The 16,177-nt window shown below is 48.4% G+C and overlaps 5 annotated features.

The window, feature by feature from the left end:
* Window positions 1,911-2,579: an enhancer, noted in NCBI's record as "H3K27ac-H3K4me1 hESC enhancer chr21:34405338-34406006 (GRCh37/hg19 assembly coordinates)". NCBI's record gives its function as "activates a minimal SCP1, AML or CMV promoter by ChIP-STARR-seq in naive H9 embryonic stem cells {active_cell/tissue: H9 hESC(naive)}" and the evidence as "EXISTENCE:reporter gene assay evidence [ECO:0000049][PMID:30033119]".
* Window positions 2,580-3,247: an enhancer, noted in NCBI's record as "H3K27ac-H3K4me1 hESC enhancer chr21:34406007-34406674 (GRCh37/hg19 assembly coordinates)". NCBI's record gives its function as "activates a minimal SCP1, AML or CMV promoter by ChIP-STARR-seq in primed H9 embryonic stem cells {active_cell/tissue: H9 hESC(primed)}" and the evidence as "EXISTENCE:reporter gene assay evidence [ECO:0000049][PMID:30033119]".
* Window positions 4,846-5,399: an enhancer, noted in NCBI's record as "H3K4me1 hESC enhancer chr21:34408273-34408826 (GRCh37/hg19 assembly coordinates)". NCBI's record gives its function as "activates a minimal SCP1, AML or CMV promoter by ChIP-STARR-seq in naive H9 embryonic stem cells {active_cell/tissue: H9 hESC(naive)}" and the evidence as "EXISTENCE:reporter gene assay evidence [ECO:0000049][PMID:30033119]".
* Window positions 5,400-5,952: an enhancer, noted in NCBI's record as "H3K4me1 hESC enhancer chr21:34408827-34409379 (GRCh37/hg19 assembly coordinates)". NCBI's record gives its function as "activates a minimal SCP1, AML or CMV promoter by ChIP-STARR-seq in naive H9 embryonic stem cells {active_cell/tissue: H9 hESC(naive)}" and the evidence as "EXISTENCE:reporter gene assay evidence [ECO:0000049][PMID:30033119]".
* Window positions 10,879-12,078: an enhancer, noted in NCBI's record as "CDK7 strongly-dependent group 2 enhancer chr21:34414306-34415505 (GRCh37/hg19 assembly coordinates)". NCBI's record gives its function as "activates an origin of replication core promoter dependent on BRD2, BRD4, P300/CBP, MED14 and CDK7 cofactors, with strong dependence on CDK7, by STARR-seq in HCT116 cells {active_cell/tissue: HCT116}" and the evidence as "EXISTENCE:reporter gene assay evidence [ECO:0000049][PMID:35650434]".

Raw genomic sequence — 16,177 nt, forward strand, 5'->3', positions numbered from 1 at the left:
AGGGAAAGAGGTAACTGTTTCCGGGATCTGCTGCAGTCTTCCCTGCCACACTGCAGTCCCCTCTGGGGAGCATTCGTTGGGAGATTCTCAACAGGCTGGACTGCAGCTCAGCCTCCTCCCCAGCCCCACTGCGTGGCTCTGCAGCACCCCAGCTGTCAGCCTCCGAGTTTAGAAACTCACCATGCCCCAGGTCTTTGAGACTCCCCAACCCTCCTTAAGAACCTGGGAGCTGGCCGGGGCGCAGTGGCTCAAGCCTGTAATCCCAGCACTGTGGGAGGCCGAGGTGGGCAGACCACCTGAGGTTGGGAGTTAGAGACCAGCCTGATCAAAATGCAGAAACTCCGTCTCTATTAAACATACAAAATTAGCCAGATGTGGTGGCACATGCCTGTGATCCCAGCTACTTGGCAGGCTGAGGCAGGAGAAGTGCTTGTACCCAGGAGGCGGAGGTTGCAATAAGCTGAGATAGTGCCATTGTACTTTGCACTCCAGCCTGAGCAACAAGAGTGAGACTCTGACTAAAAAAAAAGAGAAAAAATAAAAAAAGAACTTGGGAGCTCAGCTGACCAGAGGTTGAGGGGCCAGTGGGCAGAACCCGAGCCTCCTCCTCTGGCCTCAGCACCCCAGGGCATTGTCCCTGGGCTCCTCACTCTCTCATATGGGCAGGAGCCACAGAGAAATGACACTCCCCTGGACTCAGTGTTGAAGGACTAACCCCTAATGCCCATGGAGTTGGAATTCTGCACCTTGGGGACAGGCAGTGAGCAGACGAGTGAAGTGAACCCACAGAGGTGTCACACTCCCAGTGAGGCCAGGAGTTTTAATGTGACCGCAGGAAGACATGGGTACTAAAGACACCCGTGGTGATTTGGGGTTCTGACAGCCATCCACCAGGGACCTGCCCTTCTCATTCCCAGACTGGGATCAGTGAGGAGCCCCTGGGCCAGGGCATTGAATTTTAAAGCCCCCTAGATGCTCTTATGGATAAAACTACCCCAGTGGTGGAAAATGTCTGTCTCCTATTGGGGCCGAATCTACCTAGCAATCTGTCTGGACTTCTATTGAGTATTCACCTTGATGCTTCCTAAAAGTTCATCAGGAGGTGGCAAAGGAGTCCCCCTTCACCTGCCATGTCATTTTAAGTCACTCTTGCATTACAGATTTTGTGCCTAGTATCCCCCTTCCCCACACAAGTGCCCCCATAGTACCAGCAGGGGTTATAGGGTCTTTGACAAGGGCCCCACACCAAGAGTGACCATTTATTTAGTCTCCGCAAAACTGTAAGGGAAGCCAGGATAAAGCCAGGTTATTCACAGCAGTGGTTGCTGTATTCAGTCCCATCCTGACTAGGGAGAGGGACGTGGGACAGCATGGGTGAGCATGGCCACTCCCTGGTTTGGAGGCAGCCAGCAGCTCATGGGCTATATCCCAGGGCTAAGCCCCAACTCCCTGTAAGTGAGGAGGCCATTCTAGGCAGGGCAGAGATGGGGATCACCCACAGCTACATCCTTACTCCGTATCTCTCCTCTAGGGCCCCAGTGATTGCTACTGGCTGTTTGTCTGTGGAAGAGGTTGGAGGTGGAGGACTGCAGCGAGGAACTGAAGAGGCAAAGCTGGGAGGAGGGAGTCAGGGCCGGGCTGAATCTCCAGGGAACTCAGGATATTAATAGGTGGAGGCTAGGAGAGGAGGCGGATAGCGTTGACTGAGGTTTAGCCGGGGTAAGGCGGGGCACAGAGAGCTTTAAGAGCCTCAGTTCATTCCATTCTCACTACAACCATTTGAGGAGGGTGCTATTATTGTCCCGTCTTACAAGTAAGGAAACTGAGTCACAGAAAGGCTAAGTGACTTGCTCAGGGGACACAGCCAGTAAATGAAGGTGGCAAGGTTGTTGTAATCCAGGGCCCACCCCAAGAGGCCACCTGGCCCGCACTCCAGCAGTCCCCAGACTCTGGCTCAGCTGCCGCCCCGGGAATCCTCTGCTGCCACCCCCTGTCCCCCACCCCGGCCCCCTTAGGTGGCGCTCCTAGTGCTTCCCCCCATGCCTGGACCCCATCTGTCCCCGACTCCCCCATCTGGGCGGCGGGCGGGGCTCACAGGCTTTAGCAATTAGCGGGCGCGGGTGGGCGCGCGGCGCGGGCGGAGGAAGGGCCGGAGCAGGTGAGCCGCGGCGGAGCCTCATTAGGGCGGCCCGCACGCCCCGCGAGGGACCGTCGTTAGTGCCAAGACAGCTGCCGCTCCTGCCGGCCTAGGGCCGCAGCCGGAATCCCGGGCCACATCCCCTGCCCCGTTGTGCCTTCCACACCTCGGGCAGTCACTAGGAAAAGGGTCGCCAACTGAAAGGCCTGCAGGAACCAGGATGATACCTGCGCCAGTCCCGCGGCTGCTGCGAGTGCGCGCTCTCCTGCCAGGGGGACCTCAGACCCTCCTTTACAGCACACCGAGGGCCCTGCAGACACGCGAGCGGGCCTTCAGTTTGCAAACCCTGAAAGCGGGCGCGGTCCACCAGGACGATCTGGCAGGGCTCTGGGTGAGGAGGCCGCGTCTTTATTTGGGGTCCTCGGGCAGCCACGTTGCAGCTCTGGGGGAAGACTGCTTAAGGAACCCGCTCTGAACTGCGCGCTGGTGTCCTCTCCGGCCCTCGCTTCCCCGACCCCGCACAGGCTAACGGGAGACGCGCAGGCCCACCCCACCGGCTGGAGACCCCGGCACGGCCCGCATCCGCCAGGATTGAAGCAGCTGGCTTGGACGCGCGCAGTTTTCCTTTGGCGACATTGCAGCGTCGGTGCGGCCACAATCCGTCCACTGGTTGTGGGAACGGTTGGAGGTCCCCCAAGAAGGAGACACGCAGAGCTCTCCAGAACCGCCTACATGCGCATGGGGCCCAAACAGCCTCCCAAGGAGCACCCAGGTCCATGCACCCGAGCCCAAAATCACAGACCCGCTACGGGCTTTTGCACATCAGCTCCAAACACCTGAGTCCACGTGCACAGGCTCTCGCACAGGGGACTCACGCACCTGAGTTCGCGCTCACAGATCCACGCACACCGGTGCTTGCACACGCAAGGGCCTAGAACTGCAAAGCAGCGGCCTCTCTGGACCGCCTCCCTCCGGCCCTCCTGAGCCCTACTGAGCCCTGCTGAGTCCTGGAGGCCCTGTGACCCGGTGTCCTTGGACCGCAAGCATCCTGGTTTACCATCCCTACCCTGGCTGACCTGAGAGCTGGGGATCTTTTAAGCTTTGTATGCCTGGCCTCACCTTTTCCTCTGCCTCCCTCCCAGACCAGCCCGGCTCTCAGACACCTCTGCTTTCTAGGCAAAAGTTCTGGAGCCCAGAGCAAGGGCCACAGGTGCAGTGCAGTCCAAACAGGACCACGAGCAATTCTCTCTCCTTCATCCTCAGATTTGGCAGTAGAAGCTTGTTTTTCAGAACAGGGCTGGAGTGGCCTCTTTGAAACTCTGAACATGTTTCAACTGTAGAATAGAGCCATAATGGGTGATCTTGGAAGCTCCGTGGGCCAATCAGGCTCTGCCCCAATACCCGAGCCCTCTGGGTGTCCTGGTCCACCTCAGAGCAGAGGTCCTGGGAGCCCCTGCTGGCAGGGAGGCTGTGATGGGTGAGAACAGCCCTCCTCCGTGTGTCCTCCGTGCACTAAGAGAATTCACTGGCCTCTGCTGAAGCGGAGTTTAGACAGTTCTAGAAAGGAGTTGTCCTTGGTTGTGGGGCTTCCCTAGGGTGGAAACTGTGGTTTGGACATCCTTGTACCTTCAGGGTACCTGCTAGATATAAGGACTCACAAAAAAATGAATGAACGAATGAACGAGTGGCACAGTGCAAGTCAGGAGGTTTGGAGAGTGTGGGGAACAAGGTGGAAGTGTAAAAGTCCTGAATCCTTCATTGATGGGGGATACTGAGGCCTAAAGGATGGTGAGCACTTTGATTCTATCCAAGGCAGCTGGATTCAGACCAAAGCCCTATACTACAGTGATCCAGGTTACGAGACCTTCCTGATCCTCTCTTCTTATGTAAATAGAGTAATTAATAGTAGCACCTGACAACTGTGCTGCTGTGAGGATTAAATGAAACATCCCAGGAGTCGCCCTCTGCATGGTGCCAGCAGTGAATGGATGCCCTGGGCCCAAGGACCTGCCCAGAGTGCAGCTGCTGCTGGGTGTGGACTCCCACAGCTGAGGCTCCCCCAACCCAAGCAGCCAGGAATCTGTAGGTCATAGTGGGGCAGTCACCATGGAGACCATGAAGAGGCAGTTGGGTGTGGGGTGGTATGCTGCCTTGGCCAAGCTCTGCCAGCTGAGTGACCTTGGACAAGAGACATGAGCTTTCTTAGCCTTGGCTTCCTTATCTGTAAAGTAGGGGTGATGCTAGTACCATCTTCACAGGCCATCTGGCCTGAGAGGGAGAACCTGGCACACCACGCATATCCAATTAAGCAGAAGAAGGTGCCTGACTGCATGAGTGTCATCCCATTGAATCTTCTGGGAGGTCCTACAAGGTATGGTCTCTGTTACTCTGGGTGACATGATCTGTCCTGCAGCATCACAAGGGGTCTGTATGCCTCGGGGCGCCAAGGAACAACTCAGCACTGTCCCTGAGCTCTGTACAGGTTCCACTTCCCAAACCCCCCCAACGCAAGGCAAGGCCTCTGTTCTCACCTTTGCATGCCCTGGGGTGCCTGGTACTGAGCATGATGCACGGTTAGTTCTCTGGGAATATCCTTTGCATTGCATTGTGGACGAGGAGGGCCCATGCTCTACATGGAAAACAGACCTGGGTCTTTTTTTTTTTTTTTTTTTTTTTTTTTTAGATGGAGTCTCACTCTGTCACCCAGGCTGGAGTGTGCAGTGGCACGATCTCAGTTCACTGCAACCCTGCCCTGGGTTCAAGCCATCTTCATGCCTCAGCTTCCCAAGTAACTGGGATTACAGGTGCACGCCACCACGCCCAGCTAATTTTTGTAGTTTTAGTAGAGACAGGGTTTCACCATGTTGGCCGGGTTGGTTTTGAACTCCTGACCTCAGGTGACCCATTCACCTTGGCCTCCCAAAGTGCTGGGATTACGGGCGTGAGGCACCGCGCCTGGCCCAGACCTGAATCCTTTTAAAGGAGGGAGCCAGGATCAGAAAGGAACTGATTGAAGGAAAAGTTGCCTGTGAAGCCCAAGCCCCAGCCTCACGGTCCCATCCCCCCATCCCCCCATTGAGGAGAGTCCCCCCTCTCAGGGCCAGGCCTGCTGTTCCCTCCATCTGTGCCCCTCAGATGCCCAGTGTAAGGGGTGAGCTGGAGAGCTAAGGATCTGCTTGTTCTGGAATTGCAGCTGGGAGCCTCGGGAAGAAGAGTGGTGGGGCCTCCTGGGAGCTGGGCATGGGGCTCCCCATCAGTTCCAGCTCTGACCTCTCTGGGCTGTTCAGGCAAAGGCAGCAGTTGCTAATGAAGACACTGGAGGACAGCGTGGCTTAGTCAGCACAGGAAGGAAATGACTTAGTGCAGCCGGGTGCTGGCAGGCGACCACAGCAGGGGCAGGCAGCCCATAAGACCAGCACAGCCAGGAGGCCACACTCCCCCGCCCCACCCTGGGCTTGCCTTCTTTGCCCCTCTCCCTTCACCACCCTCCACAGCCAATTTGCTTGTCATCACCCACCTTTTTGTGTTTAACCCGTCAGCTCTTCCTACCTCATTCACTATTTTTTTTTGTTTGTTTTAATTAAGGTCGAATGCATGTCACACAAAGTTAACCATTTTAAGGTGAACAGTTTCAGGGGCATTGACAATGTCGTGCAGCCACCACCTCTGTCTCATTCCAAAACATTTTCATCGCTGCAAAGTAAAACCTGGACCCACTGAGCAGTTCCTCCTCACTCCCCCATCCCTACCCCTACCAATCTACTTTCTGTGTCTATGGATTCACTGATTCTAGATACTTCATATAAACGGAGTCATAAAATATGTGGCCTTTTGTGACTGGCTTCTTTCACTTAGCATAATGTTTTTGAGGTTCAGCCACGTTGTTGCATGTATCCTTACTTCATTCCTTCTTCCAGTGGAATCATATTCTGTTGTGGGTGTCTGCCACATTTGGTTTATCCATTCATCTGTTGGTGATTTCGTTCACTTCTAAGTAACTCCTCAGGTCCTGGTATACAACCTGCCACAGTGAAAAGAGGCCTGTTCCAGGAGTTTAAAAATCTACGTCTCTGACCAGGTTGAGCATCCTCCAGCGAGTTGCTTGACCTTTCTGGGCCTCTATCTACTCATCTACAAAGTGAAAAGCTTGGCAAAGGACATTTCAAGTTACGATTCTCTGTGACTTTTTACAACCCTGAAGTCCACCCTGCCACTTGTAGAATGTATTTCATGTCCTCCCTGCCACAGGTGTGTGTCAAGAACCCCATAACAAATGTCCCAGAACTTGCACAGTGCCCCCAGCAGATCAGGATGCCTGAACAAATCTCTGCCTTTGGGTCTTAGGGAGCCAGAATCTCTGCGAGATGCCTGGCTGAAGTAGGTAGTGTATTGTGAGTGATTCCCTTATTCAATATCCAGCCAGACTTTCATCAGTTGTGACTTGGAAAGGAAATGACCAACTAACTTGTAACTTGTTCAGATCCTCATTATGATATAGTTAAGAGACGCATTTTAAGAAGTGGGCACTAAACTACATAGTGAAGATCCCACATAAATCTGGGGCTAGGTGTAGTGGAAAAACTGCTATCCTTACTCCTGTAGTTCATCTTCTCAGCCTTTTATCCAGTACACGTTTAATGTGCCAGGTGGATGTGGAGAACACTCAGTGACAGCAGCTGCATCAGGTACATCTGAACTTGATGGCCACCACATTACCCCATCCCCTGCTTTAGGCAGGTTAGAAACATACAGAGAAACTGCTTTAAAAACATGCTTGTCCTCAACATTTAAGAGCTTTGAAATGGACCCTGATTGGAGTGGGGTGATCAAGTTGTCTTTTCCATTTGAACTTGAACTTAAAGGGGAAAAAACTTTATGTAGGGAAGGTACCAAGCTCACAATTTACCGAGCTTCCATAGTCCAAAAAGAATTTGAGGGGTTTGTCTGAACCATGTTACAGAATTGAAAAGTATTTTCATACAATTGAAAGTCAGAAAATGGGAGGCACTTGCTATATTGTTCTAACGTGTTAGCTCGTGGGCCTCACTCATATATTTAATCTTTTTTTGTTAAGAGAAAGAAGTCATACCTCATGTTTTTTTTTTTTAACTTTTATTCCAAAAAGAATTTTGGAATATGGAGGCTCTGTAAACTGAGATCATAATTTCACCTCCTTTTTTTTTTTTTTTGAGACAGTTTCGCTCTTGTCACCCAGGCTGGAGTGCAATGACACAATCTCAGCTCACTGCAACCTCTGCCTCCCAGGTTCAAGTGATTCTCCTACCTCAGCCTCCCAAGTAGCTGGGATTACAGGCGTGCACCACCACACCTGGCTAATTTTTGTATTTTTAGTAGAGATGGAGTTTCACCATGTTGGCCAGGCTGGTCTTGAACTCCTGACTTGAGGTGATCCACCCGCCTCGGCCTCCCAAAGTGCTGGGAGCCATCACGCCCAGCCCCTCCTTCCCTTTTAAGACTCCAACTTTCCTCTGGCATTTTCAATTCCCTTGCCCTGCTCAATTTCCCTTTCCCCGTATGCTATTTATTACTGATTAATTTTGTTGTTTATTGTCTGTCTTCCACACTAGAATATAAGCTCCACTGGGCAGAAATATTTGTCTATATTGATCACTGATGTACAATGGTATCCAGCCCATAATAAGTGCTCCATAAATATCTGTTAAACTAATGAAATGAATGCATGCAGGTGATTTTTGCCACTGAACTGTTTTGTAACTAGAATGCAAGTGACATAAAGCTTCATTAGGATTCTCACATGAGAAAATACAAGCAAAAATCTGATCCTGTGAAAAGTGTAGCATCAAACTTCATTTTCCTTCCAGAAAATGCTTTTTAAAAACCTGCCAAATCTTGGAGGCTGGCCTTTTATTGGTTCTGGGGTGTGGGGCAAACAAGGGATTTTCTGAAATAATTTATCAGTTACTATCAACAAATTTGCTAAAGCTTGACATATAACATTCGCCACTGTGAACAAAAGCTGCCTCCCAAAGTCCCTTGGGTAGTCTTTGCGCACACTAAAAATCCAGAGCTTGAGGCATAAGACTGACCTTAACATTAAATGAATTCATGGTTGGACACTTTGTTCTAATCCTTTGTGAAGCAAACTCCTTGGATTTTTAAAACATGCTATCGGATGAATCTTTCCAATGAGGAGCATATAAATATCTCCTTTAGTAGTTCCTACAAAGCATCCATGTCAATGTCATTAACAGAATGGGAATGATATTGGAGGGAGTGGGAGGTGGTTGCAACTTGCAATTCAGACAGCCAGTGAAAACCTTAACATTAAGTATCCTTAAAAAAAAAAAAAAAACCCTCAGTGGTTGTATTTATCCTGAATGCAAAACTGTCCCCTTTGTTGAGATTGGCTGAACTAACTCAGCCTGGAGAACAATGTTGAGGCTGCTGGCGGGCCATGTGCTAATGTGCTCATGCATTACAGGCCGCAACAGATGGCTGTGAGAACACCCGGCCTGCCCCGCCTGGGTCAGGATGCAGAGCCCAACGCCTGTTTCCAGTGCTGTCCCGCTATGAAAACACTGCTTCTCTAGGGAGAGGCGATGGCTGGCCTGGGGGAGGCCAGCCATGTCTGTTCTACCCAATTCAAGGGCAAAGGTGCAAGGGAATAATGATCAGGGGTTTATTTGAGCCATGTTACAGAATTGAAAAGTATTTTCATACAATTGAAAGTCAGAAAATGGGAGACACTTGCTATATTGTTCTATCATGTTAGCTCACAGGCCTCATTCATACATTTAATCTTTTTTTGTTAAGAGAAAGAAGCCACACCTCATGTTTTTATTTTTTTAACTTTTATTTTAGACTCGGATACAGGTGCAGGTTTGTCATATGGGTAAATTGCATGTCATGGGGGTTTGAGGTACAGATTATTTTGTCACCCTGATAATAAGCATAGTACCGGATAGGTAGTTTTTTTTATCCTCTCTTTCCTCCCACCCTCCACCCTCAAGTAGGTCCTGGTATCTGTTTTTCCCTTCTTTGTGTTCATATTTACTCAATTTTTAGCTCCCACTTATAAGTGAGAACATGTGGTATTTGGCTTTCTGTTCCTGTGTTAGTTTGCTTAGGATAATGACCTCCAGCTCCATCCATATTCCTGCAAAAGATATGATCTCATTCTTTTTTATGGCTGCATAATATTCCATCGTGAATATGTACCACATTTTCTCTATCCAGTCCATTGTTGATGGGCATTTAGGTTGATTCCATGTCTTCGCTACTGTGAATAGTGCCGCAATGAACATATGCACACATGTGTCTTTATGGTAGGGAGATTTAGTCTTCTCCTATGACCAGGATGTGGTGTTTTGAGTATAGTTCTAATTTTTCTTTCCTTCCCTCTGACAAGTTTCTCTTCAATCTTTCCCTGCATCCCAGTGAATCAGTGAGAAAGCAAAACAACCCCTCCTGTCCCCCCACACCAAAACCAAACCAAAACAAACAAAAAATCCGCCAGGCTTTCTTACAACTACAAAGTGAAGCTACAGAGAAATTCCTTTGGAAACATGTTTGCAAAGGGATGTTTGTCCCTGTATCCCTACAAATGAGAAGAAAACCAACATTAGCCATCACGTTTGCTCTTCCCATCCCACCCTGAAGCAAAGGCTCAGGCAGGTGTGGCTGGTCCAGCAGCTCAAGGCCCAATGTCCTGGGAGGGAATGTGGGGGTCACTGGCTCTCTTTAGTTGTGGACTCTACCTACAGAGCCAGGCCAACCTGTCCAAGCAGCCCTGCCTGCTTCTCCAGCTCATGACCCCAGAGCTGGGCACTGGAACTCACTCACTCGGAGCCAGGTCCCCTGAGATGAGAGTGGCACCTCAGAGACATCACCCCAGAGTCACCCCAGATACATGCAGAGACAGAGAAGCACCCAGGCACACAGAGCAGTATGGACTATCAACCCCTATGCTCAACTCTCTGAAACAGATAAGCAGATGTATGGCTGGCTTGTGGTCTTCAAAGTTGGTCTAAGTTTCCTGGTGTTCATATAGGAGCACTGGGAAGCTGGCATGTGGATTACTGATGTAGAATGGTGTCCAGTCTATAGTAAGCTGGAAGCTCCCCACCTGCCTGTCTGTCACACTCAGCATGCCTTCTGTTGATGCCACTGTGTGGATAAGCATAGTGTCTCCAGGGAGCCCTGTCAAAACGCCCATTGCCTGGGAAGGAATACACAGCAAGTCACTGGCACTGGTTAGTCTATAAACGCCCATTGCCTGGGAAGGAATACACAGCAAGTCACTGGCACTGGTTAGTCTGTAAAGTACTAGTGATAACATGAAGTAGGGCACTGACAGCGTGGAAAGGTAAATTTTACCTGTAAGGGAAGGAGGGAAGGCAGGAAAGAGGGAGAACTTGAGATCAACAGGGCTGGTGCCATGAGGATCGCAAGTAGGCTATGGGGAAGGACATTTCAAAGCCGTAGTGGTGAGGATGCAGGTTAGGTACCATAACAAAGAAAGTTCCAAGACAGCAGCTTAGATAAAGTTACAGTCCAGGGAGGTGGCCCAGGGTTGGTTTGAAAGCTTCATGGTATGAACAACCCAATTCCCTCCCTCTTATTTTTCTGCTATCCTCAACACAGTCTCCATCTTGCTACTCCAAGCCTGCCATCATGCCCATATTCTGGGAAGGAGTATGGAGCAGGGAGAGTTCTCCTTCCTTTTAAGGTACAAACCAAGAATGGCATACGTCACTTCTGCTTGTATTCCCTGGGACAGAACCTAGCTACAGGGTCACATCAAACTGCAACACAGGTCAGAAAATGTGGGCTTCATCTGGGTGGCCACATGCTAGCTAAAACCTTTACTAAAAAGGGAGGGCAGACACTGGGGACAAGAAGTAGTCTGTGTCACACCAGGCTGAGGAAGGGAGGTCCCCCTCAAAGAGCTCTGCATCCACAGCTTCTGACTCACAGTCCACCCACAACACAAACCCAGACTGAAACCTGCATTCTCAGGGAGAGGGAATGAATTTCTATAGGAGCTGTGGGGAAACGGGAAATTTTAAATAAGAATAGTCCATTTTTCTAGCACTTGCTAGTCTGTAGGGCCTTTTACATTTTACATGTGTTACCTCCTTTAAAATGAGAAGCAGGTGCAATGTGCGCAACTTCCCTTTCACAGGTGAGGAGGTGGCGGCGGGGGCTTGCCCAGGCTCCCACAGTGGAAACGAGCAGAGCCTAGGGGTCTCTGAATGACTCCCAGCCCACTGGGCAGCCCAGACAAGCTCTCAGTCCCACTGACGCAGGCATCCGTAGGCTAACATGGAATAAGACCATCATAACACGACGTGATGCCCTTGTTCATGCCCAGCCTTTGGGGGCTGCCCTCCTAACCTCTGTGCCTTCCCTGAAGGGGGTACAGGCAGTCATATTTTGTGTAGCTTCATGACACAGAATCAGCTGCTCATTACGGGATGCATCTTTTTCATTCCACCTCCCCCCATGGCCTATCACTGAAGTGAGCCTTATTTTGCAAGGCACATCTTCATTCTTGGTGTGTTAGGAAGGAAAAGGAAAAAACGCCTATAATCCAATAAGGCACACAGAATCAAGTGGAATCCAATTCCTCCAAGTTCAAGATGAAGGAAGCTAGATGCAGAGGCTGAATTATGACGACAGACATGTCAGTTCATCCCCGGAGTCTAAGATCTAAGACCATGGCCAGGATCAAGCTGCGTTTGAAGGGGCTCTTACCAATCACTATGAAATTCCAGTGTGCCTGAATCACTATGACTTGGAACCTTTGGATTTCTGCCAAATCACAATTTGGACTCTATCCACAAAGCCAGGCTGTGGCTCTTTCCTTCTTTCCTGATTCATGCTCTGCCTTCACCCCTTTCATTGCTTTTTAAAGGTTTATTTTGAAAAGTCTTGTTCAGCCTGAGAACTATCTTTCCCATCAGCCATTTTCCTCTGCTTCTTAAACTTCCAGGTCAGGGATTCTCTGGAGTATTAAAGGGGGCTCAGCTGATGGTCCTCAGCTCCATTGTGCCCTGTTAGGCAAGTACCTGTCCTGGTGCAGTGACCCAGACATGCAAGAGAAAGGCTGTGGACTTGGGCAGCACTGTCTGGTAGAACATTCCATGATGATGGAAATGGTCTGTATCTACGCTGGCTAATATGGTGGCCACATATGGCCATCAAGCACTCAAAATGTGGCCAGTATGACTGTGGAACTGAACTTTCAGTTTTATTTAATTTTAATTAACTTTAACTTCAATAGCCACAGGTGGCTGTTGTTCACTATATTGGACAGTGCAGCTCTACAAGCAGAGGCCACAGGATCTCTGGACCTCACCGGGTGCATCATCAATCTTGGATTTCCCCTGCTAAAACCCATACAATCTGGCCAGGCTCAAAATGCAGAGGGTTTTCTCAAAGTGAGAAGTATGGCTTTTACCACAAAACATTATTTGTATTGATTCCATTTGCAAGAAAAACCATCATTCTGGACCAGCTGAGATCATCCGATTTCTGAAGAATCACAGAGTTAGAACTGTTGGCCGATTGCTTGTAGACATCTGTGACGATAAGCTTACGTCACTACCCTTGCCCCTCTCTAACCCACTCCCAACACCCACAACTCTTATTTCTATCCTTCTTCTTCATAAAACTCATTTTCCATTTTTCCCTCTAGCCTAAATCATGAGCACTAGCACCTTATCAGCAGCCAAGAAAAGCACATCATGTTTCCTTTACTGACTTTCTCATTAAGTTGCCCCCATTTCTCCCCCTACTGAAATAGTTGAAGATAGGAGTTTCAAAGGTTTTGTTTTAAAAGGTATGCCTACTGTCCAGAAAAACTTTCCCCAGGTCTTTGATGACCCTCTGGAAAGTTATTTAATTTTCCCAAGATCTGTTGTAGATAAAGAAATTCTTTGGGTAGGGAGGATAGACTTGGCACAAGCTCAACTGCAAAAGTATTATTGGGTTAATACGGTAGTTGTTGACTCTTCTTCAGGGATTCTCAATAATGGTCCTGTTACATTTGGGGCCAGATACTTCTCTGTGGTGGGGGCTGTCCTGCGCAGTGTAGGATGTTCAGCAGTATCCCTGGCCTCTACTTGCCAGTTGCCAGTGATACCCTGTCCCCAGTTGGGAAAACTGAAAATGTCACCAGACATTGCCAAGCATCCCCTGGGGGACAAAATCTCCCCCAGTTGAAAATCCCTGCTCTACTTCCATTTAACATCCACACTGAGCTGAGACAAGAGAGCAGAAGAGGAAAAAGCCACACAAAGCCATCCATTTCTATTTGAATCCTTAACTGTCATGATCCTCTTTCTTGTTTAGAATTCTTATTAGTAATGGACTTTTGCCCTAAACTTTGAGAAGTGAGAGGAGAGGAGGACATGGTGATTTTGCCTACATACCTCTGGAACATATTTTGGAACCAAGAAAGGTAGATCTGAAAATGCCAGGAGCTTGATTCATTTGGTTTCCTACATGGGAACTGTTTAAAATTAAGAGACAATGCACTCTGATATGACTCGCCAATTGTACACTGAATTCAATAAAATGTTAATAAGAAAAGTTCACATGGATTGCACTCTTACCATATGCTAAGCATTGTTGCAGGTGTACTGATTCAATGACTATTTTTATTCCTACTTTACCCATGAGGAATCGGAAGCACAGACATCATGCAGTTAGTGAGTTGCAGAGATGGGATTCAACATCCCAGGCATATAAGGATTGCGCTGTATGGGCAGACCAAAAAAGTATACATGGCCCCTCTAAATTTTCTTTTTAAAAACATTGATTTTTAAATTAACTTTTCACTGTGGAATAATTCTAGATTCACAGAAAAGTTGCAATGATAGTACAGAAATTTCCTGTATATACCTCACCCAGCTTTCTCTAACGTTCACGTCTTTCATAACCTTGGTACATTTGTCACAACTAAGAAATTAAAATGGATGGCTAGGTGCGGTACCTCAAGCTTGCAATCACAGCACTTTGGGAGGCCAAGGGGGTGAATTTCTTGAGTCTAGGACTTTAAGACCAGCCTGGCAATATGGCAAAACCCCATCTATTAGCCAGGTGTGGTGGTGCACACCTGTCATCCTAGCTGTTCGGGAGGCTGAGGTGGGGAGGATCAGTTGAACCCAGGAGGCTGAGCCTGCAGTGAGCTGTGATCACGCCACTGCACACCAGCCTGGGCAACAGAATAAGACCCTGTAAAAAGAAAAAGAAAGAAAGAGAGAGAGAGAAAGGAAGGACGGAAGGAAGGAAGAAAGAAAGAAAGAAAGAAAGAAAGAAAGAAAGAAAGAAAGAAAGAAATTAACATGGTTACAATGACATTAACTAAACCACAGATTTGGTTCAGAGTTCACCAGTTTTTCCATGAGTGTCCTTTGTTCCGCAGAAGAATACAGGGTATCCAATACAGGACAGCACATTGCATTTAGTTGGGGTTTATTTTTAATAGTGTTGACTAGACTTGTTCCTCACAACCCCTTCTAGATCAAAGCAATTACAGATGCTGCTCCTATGGAAGATGTTATACAAAAATTCCACTGTTGTGCAAAATGGACACAGAGAAAGCTAATCACCACTGTATTAAGGTTTGGTAGAAGGAGATTTATGGGATTAAGGGGGAAATCAGGTGAGCATGGCACACTGGGAGGAAGTATTAAAATTGCTGAGAGTGGAACAGGGCTGGAACCCCCTAAGGGATGTACAATTAAAACACAACAGATAACGATTCCCCTGAAAAGGGATGGAACGAGAAAGACAAGTGTCACAGAGAACTGCTTAGGGAAGCAAAGGGTCCATTTTACAAAGTGGCAAGAGAAAAGAGAATCTGCCTAGTAAGTCCTCTTAGTAGGAGACTAACTGCAGGTATGACTTAGGCTGCTGAGTGGTTAAGACTTTACAAGGGAAAAATGAGAGAGAGAGAAGAGACAGGAGTGTATGCCAGACACGTATGTGCATATAGAAGAGACATGTCTGTTTCAGACCTGCCCACAACCTGAACAAGCCTCATTTCTGTAATTACAAAGAGCTCACTTGATTCTAAATCTGCAGTGTAAGCATTCAGAATCCACCTCATCAGTGTCAACAGGCAAGAAACCTGTACTTAAAGGCACTGCCAATGTGCCTTGGGGAATCGCTTAGAAATCCAGTGCCATTGTTAGAAAACAAGGGTTAGGCCCCAGATTGGGACACATGTAAGATAACATACAACACAGTTCTCTCTCCAAAACTTCTCATGCATTCTCCTGCCCACACCATGTCCAAGAGGTAACTGGGATTTGCTACGATTTTTTTTTTACAAGGACTATAAAACAATGCCAGAGAAGAGGGGCAGGATCAGGAGACTGGAAAACAAGGAAAGGTGATATGGTAGGAAGCAGGCTCTCTCCATCTGGCATGTGACATCATCCCCCTACCCCTCGCCTCCTTCCCTGCCCCCCAACTCTATCTCCACCGTTCTCCATATGCACGTTCCTCTTTTAAAGTGTTAATTTTGGCCGGGTGTGGTGGCTCAAGCCTGTAATCTCTGCACTTTGGGAGGCTGAGGCGGGCGGATCACGAGGTCAGGAGATCAAGACCATCCTGGCTAACACGGTGAAACCCCGTCTCTACTAAAAATACAAAAAAATTAGCCGGGCGTGGTGGCGGGCACCTGTAGTTCCAGCTACTCAAGAGGCTGAGGCAGGAGAATGGCGTGAACCCGGGAGGCGGAGCTTGCAGTGAGCCGAGATCGCGCCACTGCACTCCAGCCTGGGGGACAGAGCAAGACTCCGTCTCAAAATAAATAAATAAATAAATAAAGTGTTAATTTCTTCTTTTATTTTTGTGACAAGAGAGTATAATATAAACAGCAGGTAAGAAAAGCATGACTCTTACCAGGAGAGTGGATGGCATCCAATCTTCTTCAAATCGAGGCACGAAGTTTTTAGAAGTACATAGAATTTGAGCAATCTAACATGTCATGGAACAAACCCAAACCATAACCTTCATGCTAATGAAATCACAAGAAATAAATGC

The sequence above is a fragment of the Homo sapiens genome, chromosome 21, assembly GCF_000001405.40.
Source record: "Homo sapiens chromosome 21, GRCh38.p14 Primary Assembly".
NCBI classification, from domain to species: domain Eukaryota; kingdom Metazoa; phylum Chordata; class Mammalia; order Primates; family Hominidae; genus Homo; species Homo sapiens.